Here is an 18,756-nt window from a genome sequence, read left to right on the forward strand (position 1 = left end):
CCAACAGTGGACATGGGTTCTTTTTTCTCTACATGCTTGCCAACCACTTGTTATCTTTTATCTTTTTATATATCTGGCTGCTTCTAAATTTTTTTCTTTCTTACCAATTCTGAACCATTTGATGGTTTCTTCCTTTATGCTCCTTGTGCTTGAGGTTCATTGAGCATCTGGGATCAGTGCACTTATTGTTTTCATCAAATTCAGAAGATTAGGCCATTATTTCTTCAAACTTTTTTGTCGTTCTCTGTCTACCTTTGAGAGCTCCAATTATACATACATTAGGCCACTTGAAGTTGTCATTACAGTTCACTAATGCTAAGTTCTTTTTTTAAGTCTTGTTTCTGTGTTTCATTTTGGACACTTTCTATTGCTACATCTTCAAATTTACTAATTTTTTCTTCTGCAATATCTAATCTGCTCCTAATCCTATCCAGTGTATTTTCCATATTAGATATTGTAGTTTTCATAACTAGAAGCATGATTTGGTTCTGTTTTCACCCATGTATCTATATAACATGTCCAGTCTTTCACTCAGCTTCTTAAACATTTAGAATATGGTCAGAATAACTTTTTTTGCTGTTTTGTTTTAGAGACAGGGTCTCACTTTGTTACTCAGGCTGGAGCGCAGTGGCATGATCACAGCTCACTGCAGCCCCAACCTCCTCGTCTCAAGGAATCCTCCCACCTCAGCCTCCTATGTAGCTGGGACCACAGGTACACACCACCACACCTGGCTAATTTTTAAATTTTTTGAAGAGACGGGTCTCACTTTGTTGCCCAGACTGGTCTCAAACTCCTGGGTTCAAACAATCCTCCAGCCTTGGCCTCCCAACGTGTTGGGATTACAGGCATGAGCCACTGTACCCAGCCCAGAATAACTTTTTAAAAATGTCTTGAGGCCGAGGTTGGGAAATAATCTGAGGTCGGGAGTTCGAGACCAGCCTGACCAACATGGAGAAACCCCGTCTCTACAAAAAATACAAAATTAGCCAGGCACAGTGGCACATGCCTGTAATCCCAGCTACTTGGGAGGCTGAGGCAGGAGAATTGCTTGAACCCGGGAGGCAGAGGTTGTGGTGAGCCGAGATCACACCATTGGACTCCAGCCTGGGCAACAAGAGCGAAACTCCATCTCAAAAAAAAAAAAAAAAAAAACTCTTAGCCACAATTTCTATCATCTGTGTCACTTCTGAGTCCCTTTCTATTCAGTTATTTTTCTCCTTGTCATGGGTCATATTTTTCTGATTCTTCATGTGTCCTGTAATTTTCTTTTCTTTTTTTTTTTGGAGATGGAGTCTTACTCTCTCACCCAGGCTGTAGTGCGATGGCACAATCTTGGCTCACTGCAACCTCCACCTCCTGGGTTCAAGTGATTCTCCTGCCTCAGCCTCCCAGGTAGCTGGGATTACAGGTGCTCACCACCATGCCCAGATAATTTTTTGTATTTTTAGCAGAGACGGGGTTTCACCATGATGGCCAAGCTGGTTTTGAACTCTTGACCTCAAGTGATCCGCCCACCTCGGCCTCCCAAAGTGCTAGGATTACAGGCATGAGCCACCGTGCCTGGCCAGTTGTTCTCATTGGATGTCATATGTTGGGAACTTTATTGGGTGATGGATATTTTTGATTTCCTATAAATATTCTTGAACTTTGTTCTGGGATGCAATTAAGTTACTTGGAAAATCTTTGATCCTTTCAGGTCCTGTTTCTCAGCTTCATTAGATGGGACTATCACAGTGTTTGTTTTAGAGATAACTTTGCCCCACTGCTGAGGCAAAACCACTTTGAGCTTCACCTGATGCCCCATGACTTCAGTGATCTTCCACTGTGGGAGGCGAGAGCAGGACTATATCCAGCTCCATGTGGGCCCCAGGCAGCGTTCACTATCATCATTTCAGGTTGCTACTGAAGTATCCCTTTTTCAGGCTCTCAGCTGGCAGAGCAAATACATATATGTATACATACTAACCTATGTCTATACAGGAATCTATCGGTATTTCTGTCTGTGGCCATCTGTAGCTGTATGAAGCCAAACATGAGTGTGTGCTGATGTCTCCAGCCCTCATCTGTTACCAGATGGATCGTTCTAGCCTCCTCCACTTGCCTACCTGTCAATTCACCATTCCTTGAGTTCATGGTTCATTTTCAGTATACCTGCACAGTGGTATCAGAACTGTTAACCCACACCCTGTGGGAAAAAAACTCCATCAGCTAGAGCACAGTGTTTACAGCCAGATCCTTTTGCCTTTAGTCTTACAGATTCCAATCATTCCAAATTATTCGGTGCAGCGCCTTTCCGCACCTGCACCCACTTTTTCCCCTGAGATTGTTTCCTACATTCGTAGCACAGTTAGATTGTTTTGTTACATTCTGCATTTCACCCTGGGATCCTCCAACCTCCTAAGTTATTTTTGTTTTATTTGCACACATTAGGTTCAATCTGAACTATAAAGTTCTGTGGGTTTTCACAAATGCGTAGTGTCATGTATCCACCACTACATTTTCCTTCTCTCTCTTTCTTGCTTTCTCGCCTTCTTGTCTTGCTCTGTCACCCAGGCTGGAGTGCAGTGGCACAATCTCGGCTCACTACAACCTCCGTCTCCTGGGTTCAAGCCATTCTGCTGCCTCAGCTTCCCGAGTAGCTGGGACTACAGGCACGCACCACCACCCCTGGCTAACTTTTTGTATTTTTACAAAATACAAAAGACGATGTTTCACTATGTGGGCCAGGCTGGTCTCGAACTCCTGACCTTGTGATCCACCTACCTCGGCCTCCCAAAGTGTTGGGATTACAGGCGTGAGCCACCACACCCGGTCTCTCTCCTTCCTTTCCTTTCCTCTCCTTTCCTTTTCTTTCTTTCTCTTTCCCTCTCCTCTCTTCTCCTCTCCTCTCCTTTGATGGAGGTCTCACTGTGACACCCAGGCTGGAGTACAGTGGCAGCATAATCTCAGCTCACTGTAGCCTCAGCCTCCCAGGGCTCAGGTGATCCTCCCACCTCAGCCTCCCAAGTAGCTGGGATTACAGGTGCACACCGCTGAGCCCAGCAAATTTTTGTATTTTTTGTAAAGATAGGGTTTCACCATGTTGCCCAGGCTGGTCTCAAACTCCTGAGCTCAAGTTATCTGCCAGCCTCGGCCTCCCAAAGTGCTGGGATGACAGGCATGAGCTACCGTGCCCAGACCACTGTTAGATTTTCATATGAATAGTTTCACCACATCAAAAAACCCCATGCTTCACCTATTCAACCCTGCCTCTCCCACCCCCAGCCAGCTCAGAAATGGTTCTTTTTACCATTGCTATAATTTTGCCTTTTCCAGAACGCCATGAATTTGAAATCATATAGTATGTAGCCTTTTCAGACTGACTTCTTTCATAGCAATATGCATTTAAGAGTCATCCATGTCTTTCCATGGCTTGATATCTCATTTCTTTTTACACTGAATGAGTTCCCACTGTCTGTTTGTACCACAGTTTGTATATCTATTCACCTATCTAAGGGCATCTTGGTTGCTTCCAATTTTTGGCAATTAATAAAGCTGGCCATGCACAGTGGCTCACACCTGTAATCCCAGCATTTTGGGAGGCCAAGGCGGGCAGATCACTTGAGGTCAGGAGTTTGAGACCAGCCTGGCCAACATGGTGAAACGCTGTCTCTACTAAAAATACAAAAATTAGCCGGGCGTGGTAATGGGCACCTGTAATCCCAGCTACTTGGAAGGCTGAGGCAGGAGAATCACTTGAACCTGGAGGCAGAGGTTGCAGTGAGCTGAGATCGTGCCACTCCACTCCAGCCTGGGTGACAGAGTGAGACTCTGTCCCAAAAAGAAAAAGAATAAACTGCTGTATACATGTGTAGGTTTTGTGTGGACAGAAGTTTTCAAATCAGTTGGACAAATACCTAAGAGTGTGATTCCATCATACAGTAAAACTGCTTTGCTTTGTCAGAAACTGCCAGAATGTCCTCCAAGGGGGCTGTCTCATGTTGCATTCCCACCAGCAATGAATGGGGGTTCCTGTTGCTCCACATCCTCACCAGATTTGATGATGTCAGTTTTGTGGATTTTAGTCATCCTAGTAGGTGTGTGGTGACACCACATTGTTGTTCTCATTCTCAGTGCCCCGATGACATATCATGCTGAGCATTGTTTCATATGCTTACTTGCCATCTGTATATCGTCCTTGCTGAAGTGACTGTTCAGATGTTCAGATCTTTTGCCCATTTTCTTTCTTTTTTTTTTTTTTTTTCCTTTTGATACGGAGTCTTGCTCTGTCGCCAGGCTGGAGTGCAGTGGCACAATCTCAGCTCACTACAACCTTTGCCTCCCGGGTCCAAGCGATTCCCCTGCCTCAGCCTCCCAAGTAGCTGGGACTACAGGCACGCACCACCATGGCAAGCTAACTTTTTCTTTTTTTTTTCTTTTCTTTTTTTTTTGAGATGAAGTCTCGCTCTGTCACCCAGGCTGGAGTGCATTGGTGCGATCTTGGCTCACTGCAAGCTCCGCCTCCTGGGTTCACGCCATTCTCCTGCCTCAGCCTCCCGAGTAGCTGGGACTACAGGCGCCCCCACCACGCCCGGCTAATTTTTTTGTGTTTTTAGTAGAGACGGAGTTTCACCGTGTTAGCCAGGATGGTCTTGATGTCCTGACCTCGTGATCCGCTTGCTCCGGCCTCCCAAAGTGCTGGGATTACAGGCGTGAGCCACCACGCCTAGCCCCCATTTTTCAATTGAGTTGTTTGTTTTAAGACCTCTTTGTATATTACCACATGTGTATTGAAAATATTTTCTCCCAGTCTGTGGCTTGTCTTTAATTTTCTTAGCAATGTCTTTTGCAGAGCAGAAGGTTTCATTAGCTTTCATAGATTCCAACTTATATTTTCTCTTTCATGGATTGTGCATTTGGTGTTGCCCACACAGATTTTTATACTGTATTCTGGTGCCATTTACTGAGTTAACAATTGCGGAAGAACTGGAAGAAAGGAAGCAAACAAAACGAGTTCTGCGTGGCACTGTCAGTGCGGGGGCATGGGGAGTCCTGCAGGGTGAGGTATGGGCGGTATGGCAAGGCGCGGGCCCATAGATGTGCAGGTCTGGAGATGTGTGCAGCGGAGATGTGCGGGCCCGAGATGTGCGGGTCCGATGTGTGGGTCCGGAGATGTGCGCGTACCCAGAGGTGCAGATCGGAAATGTGGGGGTCCGGAGGAAATGTGCGGATCAGGAGAAGTGCCAGTCCCGAGATGTGCGGATCGGAGATGTGGAGGGCTAGGAGATGCGTGGGTCCGGAGATGCGCAGATCAGGAGATGGGCGAATCGGAGATGCGCGGGTCCGGAAATGTGCAGAGCGGAGATGTGTGGATCAGGAGATGTTGGGGGGTCAGGAGATGCGGGGGTCCAGAGATGTGGGGGTCCGGAGATGTGCGGGTCTGGAGATGTGCAGAGCAGAGCAAAGATGAGCTGATCGGAGATGCCCAGGTCCGGGGATCCACGGGTCCGGAGACGCGCGGGTCCGGAGATGCGTGGGTCCAGAGATGTGCGGGTCCAAAGATGTGCAAATCTGAAGATGTGTGGATGGGAGATGTGCAGGTCCGGAGATGCGCGGGGCGGAGATGTGTGGATCGGAGATGCTCAGATCGAAGATGTGGGAATGAGGAGATGTGCGGGGCGGGATGTGTGGATGGGAGACGCGCGGGCCCGGAGATATGCGGGGCGGAGATGTGCGGGTCCAGGGATGTGTGATCTGAGGTGTGTGGGTCCGGAGCTCGGGGTCAGCTCAGCAGCAGTGAGAGCGAGCATGCTGGCTTTGGGAGCACAGCACAATGGCAGCTGTAGGAGTGCAAGAGGGTGTGACCCAGAGGCAGGGCCCGGCCCCGCATGGGTGTTCTGAGGTTTATGCCTCAGCACTAGAAGCCTCGTATGCGAAATCACATCCTCATAGACCCGGTTCAGACACAGGATAGTGATGCCTGGACTATTCATCCGTCTCTCCTCTTTTTCCCCAGACACGCTTTCACCAGCTTCGAGCCCCTCCTCGGTGACTTATCCTGTGGTCCCCGGCAGCGTGGACGAGTCTCCCAGTGGAGCATTGAACATCGAATGTAGAATCTGCGGGGACAAGGCCTCAGGCTATCATTACGGAGTCCACGCGTGTGAAGGCTGCAAGGTAGAGGGGAGCTGGAACAGGGCCTGGTGGCCGCCACCATCAACTACTTATGGTCACTTTTATAGCAAATGGCAGTCATTACTGAGAGATTGCAGAAAGTCCCGGATAAGAAACTGACTTCAGGCCAGGCGCGGTATCTCATGCCTATAATTCCAGCACTTTGGGAGACCGAGATGGGTGGATCACCTGAGATCAGGAGTTCGATACCAGCCTGGCCAACATGATGAAACCCTGTCTCTACTAAAAATACCAAAAAAAATTAGCCAGGCGTGGTGGTGGGCGCCTGTAAGCCCAGCTACTCGAGAGGCAAAGACAGGAGAATTGCTTGAACCCAGGAGCCAGAGGTTGCAGTGAGCCAAGATTGCGCCACTGCACTCCAGCCTGGGCAACAAGAGTGAGACTCCATCTTAAAAAAAAAGAAAGAAAAAAAGAAAAAGAAAAAGAAACTGACCTCAGTGATAGATTAGCCTCTCTTTATAGCACAGAACCCCTGAGAGCGTAAGCCCTGTTGTGAACTGCGTATTTGAGGAATCTAGCTTGTACGCCCCTTATGAGAATCTAATACTTGATGTTCCAAGGTGGAACACTTTCATCCTGAAACTATCCCTCCCCACCCCCATCTGTGGAAAAATTGTCTTCCATGAAACCGGTCCCTGGTGGCAAAAAGGTTGGGGATTGCTGCTTTAGAGAGTCTAGGACAAATGGTTCCTCTGTGCTTTGTAAATACTTAGAGAAGTGCATTCTTTAAAAGAAAATAAGTCACATTGGACCGGGTGCAGTGGCTCACGCCTATAATCTCAGCACTTTGGGAGGCCGAGGCGGCTGGATCACCTGAGGTCAGGAGTTCAAGACCAGCCTGGCCAACATGGTGAAACCCTGTCTCTACTAAAAATACAAAAATTAGCCAGGTGTGGTGGTGGGTGCCTGTAATCCCAGCTACTTGGGAGGCTGAAGCAGGAGAATTGCTTGAACTCAGGAGGCGGAGGTTGCAGTGAGCTGAGATCGAGCCATTTCACTCCAGCCTAGGCGACAAGAGTAAAACTTCATCTCAAAAAAAAAAAAAAGAGAGAAAAGAAAATAAGCCACATTAAGAACATCACTTCATTCGAATACAAGACAGAGAGCTGTTACCGTTGATCTCTGGAGCCTCCCTGAAGGCCAGGTGGGGCAGGTGTTCTCATGCTCCTGCCAGGGAAATTGGCCATCAGAGACACAGAGTATCTTGCTTAGGGTCCCACAGCCCCCAGCAGCAGGGACTGGAACCAGAGACTGGCTGCTCCTGCTCCCCAGCAGTTCCTTCCTGCACATCAGGGGCTTCTCCACCTGATTCAAGCGACAGGAACCCCCTGTGCATCTTCATCCTCCTGCTGGCTCAGCCTGCCCTAAACAGATGTGACCTGGGCCAGGAGTGCATGAAGGCAGGCCCTGTTGTCCTGCATGCTGCCAGCTGGACTGGTGGCCCTTCCGTGTTTGTCAGCGTGGTGATGAGGAGAGCTCCTGTAGCAGCGTCCCTTTAGGGTTGCACAGACGTGCTCAAGTCTGGCGCCTTATGTACGTGATATGTGGGAGATCATCATCTGAATGTTTGGTTTGAATCAGAAATCCCTTCTCACGGTGCACGCTGCAGGTGTTCACTAACTTGGAAAATGCCACCGCCTTTCTGGCACAATGTACCATCTTGGAACACCAGCATTCTGCCCTGAGCCAGGCCTGGCCTCAGAGGCCTGGGCCACAGGGAGAACCTCACAGCCAGGACACTGTGGCACTCTGCTGTCTAGAAGCCTGTCTCCCCACCCTTCCCATTCTAACCCCATGCGTTCCTCAGCCTCCCCACTGTGCAAGCCTAGGTAAGGACATTATGAAGACGTCAGCCTGCCTCTCACATTCCCCTGCACACTGCTGTCCCTCTCCCGCGGGCCAAGCAGACCCACTGTGGCAAAAATATAGAAGAATGACTTAAAAGCAAAGAGAAAAAAGAACCCAAAGCAAAAATGAACTCCTTCGCATGTTTTCTAACCATATACCTTTGAAAAAGCTCCTTATAAAGTGGCCTTTTCCTTAGGGCCATGATTAATTATTCATTTAGTTTTGTTTTTTATGGACTATTTAGTAACATTGTTTCTTGCTGGGTAGAGTTTAAGATGCTTTTACAAAGCAAGAAAATTGTTTACAAACAGCTGGCTTCCTTTTATTATAATTTTTGTCTTTGAGGGAGTTAATATACTCTTACAAAAATTCTTAGAAAGTCTTTAGTCACAAATATGGAAATGTCACAATGCTGGGGATAGTTACATTCATATACATTGTAACAAGGCTGAGTAACTCTTTGGAAAACTATAATTGTGTTTTCCCAAGTCAGATGAGGGCATTTTGAAATGACTTCGAATGCTGCCTCATTTTATTGTTTTTCACATTAAATGTAACGACATTTAAAGTTCTGTATTTGTCCTAATCATTCCAGACTTCTTAGAAGAACTATTTCTTTCTTTTTTTTTTTTTTTTTTTTTTTTTTTTTGAGATGGAGTCTCACTCTGTCGCGCAGGCTGGAGTGCAGTGGCACAATCTCAGCTCACTGCAACCTCCGCCTCCTGGGTTCAAGTGATTGTCCTACCTCAGCCTCCTGAGTAGCTGGGACTACAGACTTACATCACCATGCCCGGCTAATTTTTGTATTTTTAGTAGAGACAGGGTTGCACCATGTTGGCTAGGCTGGTCTCGAACTCCTGACCTCAGGTGATCCACCCGCCTCAGCCTCCTAAAGTGCTGGGATTACAGGCATGATCACCATGCCTGGCCTGGAATAACTTTTCTCTAAATTTTGTTCATTTAAAAAGAAACAATAAATGAGCAACAAAAAAGGTGAGTAAAGCAAGTGCGCTGGTTTCTCAGTGGCCCAGGTCTTTAAATCCACTGTGTATTACCCTCACAGGGCTTCTTTCGGCGAACGATTCGACTCAAGCTGGTGTATGACAAGTGCGACCGCAGCTGCAAGATCCAGAAAAAGAACAGAAACAAATGCCAGTATTGTCGATTTCACAAGTGCCTTTCTGTCGGGATGTCACACAACGGTAGGTAAGGTGGCCCTGCACATTTTCCCAGTTCGTTCCTCAGTTCCCCTTCCTTGCTCCAAGGGAACAGATCAAGCTATGGATGAATGTGCTTCAACATTTCACACCCAAGTCATTTTGTAATCAGAGTGGCCTAAGAAAATAAAAGTCGCCCAGGCGCGGTGGTTCACGCCTGTAATCCCAGCACTTTGGGAGGCTGAGGTGGGTGGATCACCTCAGGTCAGGAGTTTGAGACCAGCCTGGCCAATATGGTGAAACCCCGTCTCTACTAAGAATGCAAAAATTAGCTGGGTGTGGTGGCACATGCCTGTAGTCCCAGCTACTCGGGAGGCTGAGGCAGAAGAATCGCTTGAACCCGGGAGGCGGAGGTTGCAGTGAGCTGAGATTGCGCCACTGCACTCCAGCCTGGGCGACAGAGGGAGATTCCGTCTCACAAAAAAAAAAAAAAGAAAAAGAAAGAAAGAAAGAAAATAAAAGTCTCCCAGGTGCGGTGGTTCACACCTGTAATCCCAGCACTTTGGAGGCCGAGGCGGGTGGATCACTTGAGGTCAGGAGTTTGAGACCAGCCTGGCGAACATGGCAAAACCCCGTCTCTAATAAAAATACAAAAATTAGCTGGGCATGGTAGTGCACACCTGTAATCCCAGCTACTTGGGAGGATGAGACAGGAGAATAGCTTGAACCCGGGAGGCGGAGGTTGCAGTGAGCTGAGATCGCACCACTGCACTCCAGCCTGGGCGACAGAGTGCGACTCCGTCTCAAAAAAAAAGAAAAAAAAAGAAAAAGTCTCAAATAGCTGAGATTCAGTGGTGCATTGGACTCGCTGTTAGAAACTTCAGTGGTAAGACTTTGATACAGAATCGAAAAACCAAGTGGAAGGCACCAAAATGACAGAATGTTCACCTCGTCCATAGGAAGGGTGTACCACCTCAAACATCTCACCACGTTATGAATTTCCTTCTAGCCAATCATTTAATAGTTTCAGAACATGCTAATTGTGATGTGAATGTAAGTCGTTCATAAGAGTTGCATGTCTACCTTCTGGAAAAAGAAGCAGTTATTATATAAACTCATCCCGAAGCCCCGTTCACCTCCTTCACTCAAAGGTTGATGATGCACCTGATAGTGGTGTGCACCCTACTAATGAGACGAACGATGGTGTCACCTTCAGCCTGCACCTGTTAACGATGGTGTCACCTTCAGCCTGCACCTGTTTAAACATCTACAGTGTATGGAGTTTGAGTTTTTCATCTCTCCATAGTGGAAAGCCGAATAGTAATGAAGGATGGGTCTGAACTGCCTGTGAATTTTCATTCCTGGTTTAAAGTCCTGGGGGAGCCCCTCGTCCAGCCCTGTCCGCGCAGTCATGACCTCACTGCTCATGCCTGTGTTTCCCCCTCCAAACCCTAGCGATTCGTTTTGGACGAATGCCAAGATCTGAGAAAGCAAAACTGAAAGCAGAAATTCTTACCTGTGAACATGACATAGAAGATTCTGAAACTGCAGATCTCAAATCTCTGGCCAAGAGAATCTACGAGGCCTACTTGAAGAACTTCAACATGAACAAGGTCAAAGCCCGGGTCATCCTCTCAGGAAAGGCCAGTAACAATCCAGTAGGTGTTTGCGGCTGTTCTGGGTTCTCTTGGCAACATGGAACCAGTGTCGTAGAGGACGATTAAGGACACATGTGTTGAATGTTGAGAAAATTATATTTATCCCACAGTTAAGCAAAGGACAGCGAAGATGGAAACAGTTCATTCTGAGACTCTGAGCTGTAGCTTAACAACAACTCCTTTCTTCTTGCTTGGAGCCACCTCAAAGCTCTTAGCAACTAAGTTATTATACTGGCTATGTAATTAATACACTTAAAAAAAACCTTAATAGCTTACCAAGTACTAAGATGATTTCTTAGGAGCATTTTTTCTTAAATAGAGATAGGTTCTTGCTCTGTTGCCCAGGCTGGAATGCAGTGGTGCAATCATAGTTCACTGCAGCCTTGAACTCCTGGGCTCAAGCAATCCTCCTGCCTCAGCCTCCCAAGGAGCTGGGACTACAGGTGTGCACCACCACACCTGGCTATGTTTGATGTTGTTGTTGTTTTGTTTTGTTTTTGTTTTTTGGTAGAGATGAGATGTTTCCCAGGCTGGTCTCAAACTCCTGGCCTCAAGTGATCTTCCCACCTCGGCCTCCCAAAGCACTGGCATTACAGGTGTGAGTCATGGCACCCAGCATTAACTGGATTTAAAAAAAAAAAAACTGACCAGGCAAGATGGGTCATGCCTGTAATCCTGGCACTCTGGGGAGGCCAAGGTGGGCAGATTGCTTGAGTCCAGGAGTTTGATACCAGCCTGGCCAACATGGAGAAACCCCAACTCTACTAAAGATACAAAAATTAGCTGAGCAGGGTGGCACACACCTGTAATTCCAGCTACTTGGGTGGCTTAGGCATGAGAATTGCTTCAACCCGGGAGGCAGAGGTTACAGCAAGCTGAGATCATGCCACTGCACTCCAGCCTGGGTGACAGATCGAGACCCTATCTCAAAAAAAAAATAGAATAATAAAATAAATCCCTACTTTGAGGTGTATTAGTCTGCTATAAAGAAATCCCTGAGACCTGGTAATTTATAAAGAAAAGAGGTTTAATTGGCTCGTGGCCCACAAGGCTGTACAGGAAGCTTCTGCTTCTGGGGAGGCCTCAGGGAATTTGACTCATAGCAGAAGGTGAAGTGGGAGTAGGCGTCTTGCATGGCAGGAGCAAAAACAAGAGACACACACTTTTCACCCATCAGATCTTGTGAGAACGCTATCACTAGAGTAGCACCAAGAGGATGGTGCTAAACCATTCATGAAGGATCACCCCCATGATCCAGTCCCTCCCGCCAGGCCTCACCTCCACCACTGGGGATTACAGTTCACCATGAGATTTGGGTGGGGACACAGAGCCAAACCATATCATAAGGCTAGAAAAGGAAACCACTTACTTCCCACTCAAAATGTGCTCTTGGTCCTTTCTCCTAAAACTACTCCCTCCCTCTCAGACAAACATGCCTACATTCTTTTTCCGCCTTCAGTGAAAAGACAGTGACATCTTGGGGCTTAGAAAGGGCCACTTGTAAGCCAGGCGTGGTGGCTCACGCCTGTCATCCCAGCACTTTGGGAGGCCAAGACAGGCGGATCACGAGGTCAGGAGATCAAGACCATCCTGGCTAACATGGTGAAACACCATCTCCACTAAAAATACAAAAAATTAGCCGGGCGTGGTGGCGGGCGCCTGTAGTCTCAGCTACTTGGGAAGCTGAGGCAGGAGAATGGCGTGAACCCAGGAGGCAGAGCTTGCAGTGAGCCGAGATCGTGCCACTGCACTTCCAGCCTGGGCGACAAAGCCAGCTGTGTCTGGGCGCGGTGGCTCATGTCTGTAATCCCAGCACTTTGGGAGGCTGAGGTGGGTGGATCACTTGAGGTCAGGAGTTTGAGACCACCCTGGCCAACATGGTGAAACCCCATCTCTATTAAAAATACAAAAAATTAGCTGGGCATGGTAGCGGTTGCCTGTAATCCCAGCTACTTGGGAGGCTGAGGCAGGAGAATTGCTTGAACCTGGGAGCTGGAGGTTGCAGTGAGCTGAGATCGCACCACTGCACTCCAGCTTGGGCAACAGAGTGAGACTCTGTCTCAAAAAAAAAAAGAAAGGAAAAGAAAGGACCACTTGTTATAGAAAGCCTGTCTTTTAAGGTAGCTCTGGACCTTTTCAGAGGCAGCCAAATTGCCCCTCATGGTTCGTCCCCCACATCCCCGCCTGCCTGGCCTAAGTCCTCCTTCCCCCTCCCCAACAGTTAAATAAGTCTTTGTCTCCATTACAAAACAAATCTCAGAGCTACCTTCAAAGAAGAGCCAGCCCTCAGTTGGTGAATGAAGATACTTTGACATTTTCCTATGAGCATGGTGAAACAGGTTTAATTTGTATTAAATAGCTTGAAGCAATCCTTATTGGGAATTACAAGGTGGAATTTTAGTCACAGGAAAATAAAGCATTTCACAAGCTACTTACTTTCATGAACAAACCAAACCTCTTCTTTACTGAGTCCTTTAATTCTTCAGTGAATTCTCCAATTAAATAGGCCGAGACATTTTAGAAGTTTCCAGCAGACACCCACACTAGGCAGCTCCAGAGGCTTGTCCCAATTAGAACTTTCCTGGATTACGAGAGTGAAAGAAAAGGTAACTTTTAGCTTCGAGTCTCTATCCTGGATATGATTAGTACAGCCCAAAATTGGGATGGCTAAAACTTTTGTTTGCCAGCTTATATTTCTCCCTTGGATTTCAGAATTGAAAGCAGGCTGGGCACAGTGGCTCACACTGTAATCCCAGCACTTTGGGAGGCTGAGGCGGGAGGATCACTTGAGGCAATCCAAGAGTTTGAGACCAGGCAACACAAGGAGACCTCGTCTCTACAAAAAATGATTTTTTAAAAAACTAGCTGGGCATGGTGGCATGTGCCTGTGGTCCCAGGTACTTGGGAAGCTGAGATGGGAGGATGGCTTGAGCCCAGGAGTTCAAAACCAACCTGGGCAACATGGCAAGACCACATCTCTACAAAAAATAAAAACATTATCCAGGCATGGTGGCACATGCCTATAGTCCCCGCGACTTGGGAGGTTGAGGAGGATGCCTTGAGGCCAGGAGTTCAAGGCTGCAGCGAGCCACGATCGCGCCACTGCACTCCAGCCTAGGCGACAAAGCGAGACTCTCTAAAAAAAATTCGAAGCAGAGTTAAGTTGTCTTTCTTCCTAACAACCTGCCCCCACCATGGGGTGCGAATGGGACTCCTGGAGTCCTCCTGCACCTCCCCTTGGAGACCACCAAGCTCTAGGAACCCCATCACCCTCAGCTGAGGGTCACATGCAGCAACTAGCAGGCGGGAATCTGTTTGCATTTTGGCCTTAAAGAAATAAATAATAGGCCAGGCGCGGTGGCTCATGCCTGTAATCCCAGCACTTTGGGAGGCTGAGGCAGGTGGATCACCTGAGGTCAGGAGTTGGAGACCAGCCTGACCAATATGGTGAAACCCCGTCTCTACTAAAAATACAAAAATTAGCTAGGCATGGTCGTGGGCACCTGTAATCCCAACTACCCAGGAGGCTGAGGCAGGAGAATTGCTTGAACCTGGAAGGCAGAGGTTGCAGTGAGCCGAGATCACACCACTGCACTCCAGCCTGGGTGACAGAGCGAGACTCCATCTCAAAAAAAAAAAAAAAAGAGGGCCAGGCGTGGTTGCTCATGCTTATGCCTGTAATCCCAGCACTGTGGGAGGCAGAGGAGGGCGGATTACCTGAGCTCAGGAGTTCGAGACCAGCCTGGGCAACATGGTAAAACCCCATCTCTACTAAAATACAAAAAATTAGCCGGGCATGGCAGTGTGCGCCTGTAGTCCCATCTATTCGGGAGGCTGAGGCAGGAGAATGGCGTGAACCTGGGAGGTGGAGGTTGCAGGGAGCCGAGATCACACCGGTGCACTCCAGCCTGGGTGACAGAGTGAGACTCCATCTCAAAAAAAAAAAAAAAGAAAGAAATGATAGATGAATAGTTTAGGATTGGGGTTCACAATTTGGTTTTCTGTAGAAAAAGAGAACCGGGCACTCTTCCGAGAGTCAGATGCCCTCTTCCACCCACACCCACAAAGCCAGAGCACCGCAGGTACCAGTTTTCAAGGCAACCTCCAACCATCATGTGACTCTTTGTGTTTGATCACACTGTTTGCTCCAAGCCAGGGTTGCGTCCCACCCCATGTCCTTGTCTGCGCACGGGACGCTGGAGGCACGGCCCCCTCCTCCCTGCCTAGCCTGCTGACGGGCTTTCCAGAGCTGGCTCCTTCAGGTGCAGGATACCCTCTCTGCTTAGTCTGGGAAAAGGCCCCGTTGGCAGGATGCCCACCACCAGGCCACACTGCCTGAATCTATTGGCAGAGCTCTGGTTTTGTGGCCAAGGTGGGTAGTGGAAGACCATAGCCTGTGTCCCTTACACATCTCAGAAAGCAACCCCATCTGTGGGCAAGAAATCTGTTAGGGAGACCAAGCAGCGGCCTGGAAACACCTTGATCTCTGCCCAGTGGCCCACATGCGGTCGCCGTTTCATCAGTTTCCAGCCTGGGTGACCTCACAGCCCCAGCCACGCCCCACAGAGCCTCAGGAAGGCACACTGACCTCAGGGCCGGCGGCTGACTTCATTTCTGTTTGGGGATGAGAGGCGGCACAGTAAACTGTCCAGGCCAGTAAACTAATGGATTCATACGAACCGTAATGAACGTGGGCTGTGTGCTGGGGAAGGCAGGCTCGCCTCCTCCCTGCAGGGGCTGCTGGGGTGAAAGCAACCCTGAAATGTTCAAAGCCTTGATGGGGAAGCACGGGGGATGGATAGATTTTAATTTCAAAGCAGCCCTCTGGTTTGCTATAAGCGGGGGACTGAATTTCTCTTTGCAGTGGCCAATGCCTTTCTTCTGTCAAGATCAGCTCGTGGCCTTCAGATCAGATGACGCAAAGCCCCATGGCTGAGCTGGAACAGGCTAGAATGCTGGGGGGGGGCCTGAAACCGGTGGGGGAGTTGTGGGAGGCCTAGAATCAGCCAGGAGGCTTGGGTCGGGGTTGGAACCGGCCAGGGTGCACGGAGGAGGCTGTGGGGGCAGGGGGAGGCCGCTGCATGGAGCCGCATAGATGCCATTGCTTGAGGAAAGGTGGGCTTTAGCTGAGGGAAGGAGTGAGGGGTGGATGGAGAATGTCTGTGTCCATCTGGACACTGGGACTGTTTGAGCCCCTGAGATTTCAGAACCGTGGGCCAGAAAATGGTCAGGGCCCTTGGTGATGGGGAAGGGCGCCTCTGGGGAACTCACTGCCCCTTGATTTGAGGGTAACAGGGATGGAAGCAGAGTCAGGGGGCTGAGGGAGGCAATAAAAATGGGTGCTTTTCAACAGTGTCTAAAAACATAAGATGTTGACCTGTCAGGGGTTGAGAATGTCGTCAGAAGACTTTGGAGGAAGCAACAGAAAATGAGACTGAGGGGCTTGGGCAGAGTCAGTGCCTTCTGTGTGATGCACGCTCATGCACAAATGCACGCACATACCCACACTCACACATCCGTGCACACACGGGTACACACACATACACGTGCACCCACATGCATGCTCACACACATGCACCCACAGTCACACATCCATGCATGCATGTGTACACAAACACACCCACACATACACATGCACCCACACGTGTACACAGATGCACCTCCACCCCCATACATGCACATGGACACACACATGCACCCACACGCACACAAGCATCCATGCTCACATGGGTACACACTCACACATCCATGCATGCACGTGTAAACACACACACCCCCACACATACACGTGCACCCACACATGCACACAGACGCACCTCCACCCCCACACACGCACACACACACATGCACCCACACATGGATACACGCACACTCACACATGTACCCACACCTGTGTGTACACACACACATGCATGCTCACACACATGCACCCAGGCACACACAAATCCACATTCACCCATACAGTCACACACATGCATACACACACATACAAACACATGCATTCACACAGATGCATACACACACACACTTACAAACTACACATGTGCTTATACATGCTCACATGCATGTATATGCACACACATACCCTCACCTTATGCACACATGTACCCACACACGTACCCACACATATACAAGCATGCACACATATATATATATACACATGCTCACACGCATACCCACACTCACATGTGTGCACATATGCTCACACACACGTGCACACACATGCTCACACACACACTTACTGTTGCTCAGGCTTAGCTGCTTTGGGCTTAAGAAGCAAACTGCACCTTCCAAAAAATGAGTGTGGTGTTCAGTTAAACAACCAAATAATTCTTTAGCACTGAATATGTGGACTTTAGAAATTCAAACTATAAGGTGATAATAACGTTGTCCTGCTACTTTTTAATCTAACAAACATATCAGAACTGACACTCAGTTCAAATGAAGAAAGTAGGAATTGGGCGTGCCGTGTTATTTTTTCAAAGATTCTCCTATTGCTCCAAATTGTTGGGGATTATCTTAAAGTCTTTGAATAGCTTCAGTTATGGAAGATTTTACCCTCTGAGAATAGAACTGAATTTTAGACAAACCATGAGTCCATTGTAGCTAGACTGGCATGCAAGTTGGGATTAAACAGAGTAAAACGTCTTGTTTAAAAAAATAAGAAAGGCCGGCTTGGGCAACATAGTGAGACCTCCTCTATGAAAAGTTAGCTGGGCATGGTGGTGTGCGCCTGTGGTTCCAGCCGCTCAGGAGGCCGAGGCAGGAGGATGGAGGTCAAGACTGCAGTGGACTGTGGTTGCGCCACTGTACTCCAGCCTGGGTGACACAGCAAGACCCCGTCTCAAAAAAAGAAAACAGAAAAAAGAAAAAAAAAGTTGAGCAAGGAGACTAATTTGTGACATGCAGCTGAACATGGTTTTTAAGACCAGTTTTGAAAGAGGAATTCCAACATTATTCTTAACATTTCAGAAGCCTGGGCATAAGGGTGACCTCCAGGGTGCCGTGTTATAACAGGACTGCTCCTTTCAACAGCTATGACCTTATACCATGTCTTGGGGTGTTGCCTGCCGTGTGACAGTCCAATATTATACCTACTACTTAAGTTTTCTTTAGATTAAAAAATGTGCTTCATATTTTATGCCATTTCTACAAATGTATAGTAAAACATAACCAAGAGAGCTTATTAAATAATTTCATCCAAAGCAGTTCTACCAGTGCTTCACATTTATTTTTTATTTATTTATTTATTTTTGAGACTGAGTCTCACTCTCTTGCCCAGGCTGGAGTGCAGTGGCGCAATCTCAGCTCACTGCAACCTCCCCCTCCTGGGTTCAAGCGATTCTCCTGCCTCAGCCTCCTAAGTAGCTGGGATTACAGGTGCCAGCCACCACACCCGACTAATTTTTGTATTTTTAGTAGACACGGGCTTTTGCCATGTTGGCCGGGCTGGTCTCGAAATCCTGACCTCAGGTCATCCACCTACCTTGGCCTCCCAAAGTGCTGGCATTGCGGGCATGAGCTACTGCGCCTGGTCCACATTTAATTTTTTGCAAAAAGATGACAGCTGCTAACAGAGATGAATTCTCATGAGTGATATCATTGAGCTTCGTAGGCCACATGAGTGTGTGCCGGGACCAGTGTGGCAGCAAGCGGGGCGTTCTGCTCTCGGCATGGAGTGATTGGGGAAAATCTAGGCAGCTTCCTGCCTCACGCTGTTTAAAACCTTTATAATGTGCTTTATTTCATTTATTTGAAATGACTGCCTGTCGTGTCAGATATATTCATAGTCAAGCTTGAGTATAAAAGGCATATTCCAAAGTTAAATATAAGCTGCTGCATAGATTTTTTTGTAAAATGATCTCACCAAGAATGTTTATCCATAAAGTTTAGCGAATTTGCAAGTGTGTTTTTCA

The 18,756-nt window shown here is 48.0% G+C and overlaps 1 protein-coding gene across 26 annotated transcripts in view, besides 1 other annotated feature; it reads left to right on the forward strand.

The window, feature by feature from the left end:
• The window catches only part of PPARA (peroxisome proliferator activated receptor alpha), a 93,231-nt gene that overhangs the window by 58,649 nt on the left and 15,826 nt on the right, over window positions 1-18,756 (forward strand). For 19 of the 26 annotated variants that reach the window (XM_047441420.1, XM_047441421.1, XM_047441423.1 and 16 more), the window contains 3 exons: window positions 5,999-6,159; window positions 9,089-9,227; window positions 10,638-10,840. In XM_047441420.1, the coding sequence (XP_047297376.1) occupies window positions 5,999-6,159; window positions 9,089-9,227; window positions 10,638-10,840 (503 nt within the window). Of the gene's footprint in view, window positions 1-5,998; window positions 6,160-9,088; window positions 9,232-10,637; window positions 10,841-18,756 lie in introns of those variants that run through there. The other 7 variants (NM_001393947.1, XM_047441430.1, XM_047441427.1 and 4 more) reach the window with 5 other exon arrangements.
• Window positions 5,196-5,697: an enhancer, noted in NCBI's record as "H3K4me1 hESC enhancer chr22:46610267-46610768 (GRCh37/hg19 assembly coordinates)". NCBI's record gives its function as "activates a minimal SCP1, AML or CMV promoter by ChIP-STARR-seq in naive and primed H9 embryonic stem cells {active_cell/tissue: H9 hESC(naive and primed)}" and the evidence as "EXISTENCE:reporter gene assay evidence [ECO:0000049][PMID:30033119]".

Source organism: Homo sapiens, chromosome 22 (genome assembly GCF_000001405.40).
Source record: "Homo sapiens chromosome 22, GRCh38.p14 Primary Assembly".
Taxonomy (NCBI): domain Eukaryota; kingdom Metazoa; phylum Chordata; class Mammalia; order Primates; family Hominidae; genus Homo; species Homo sapiens.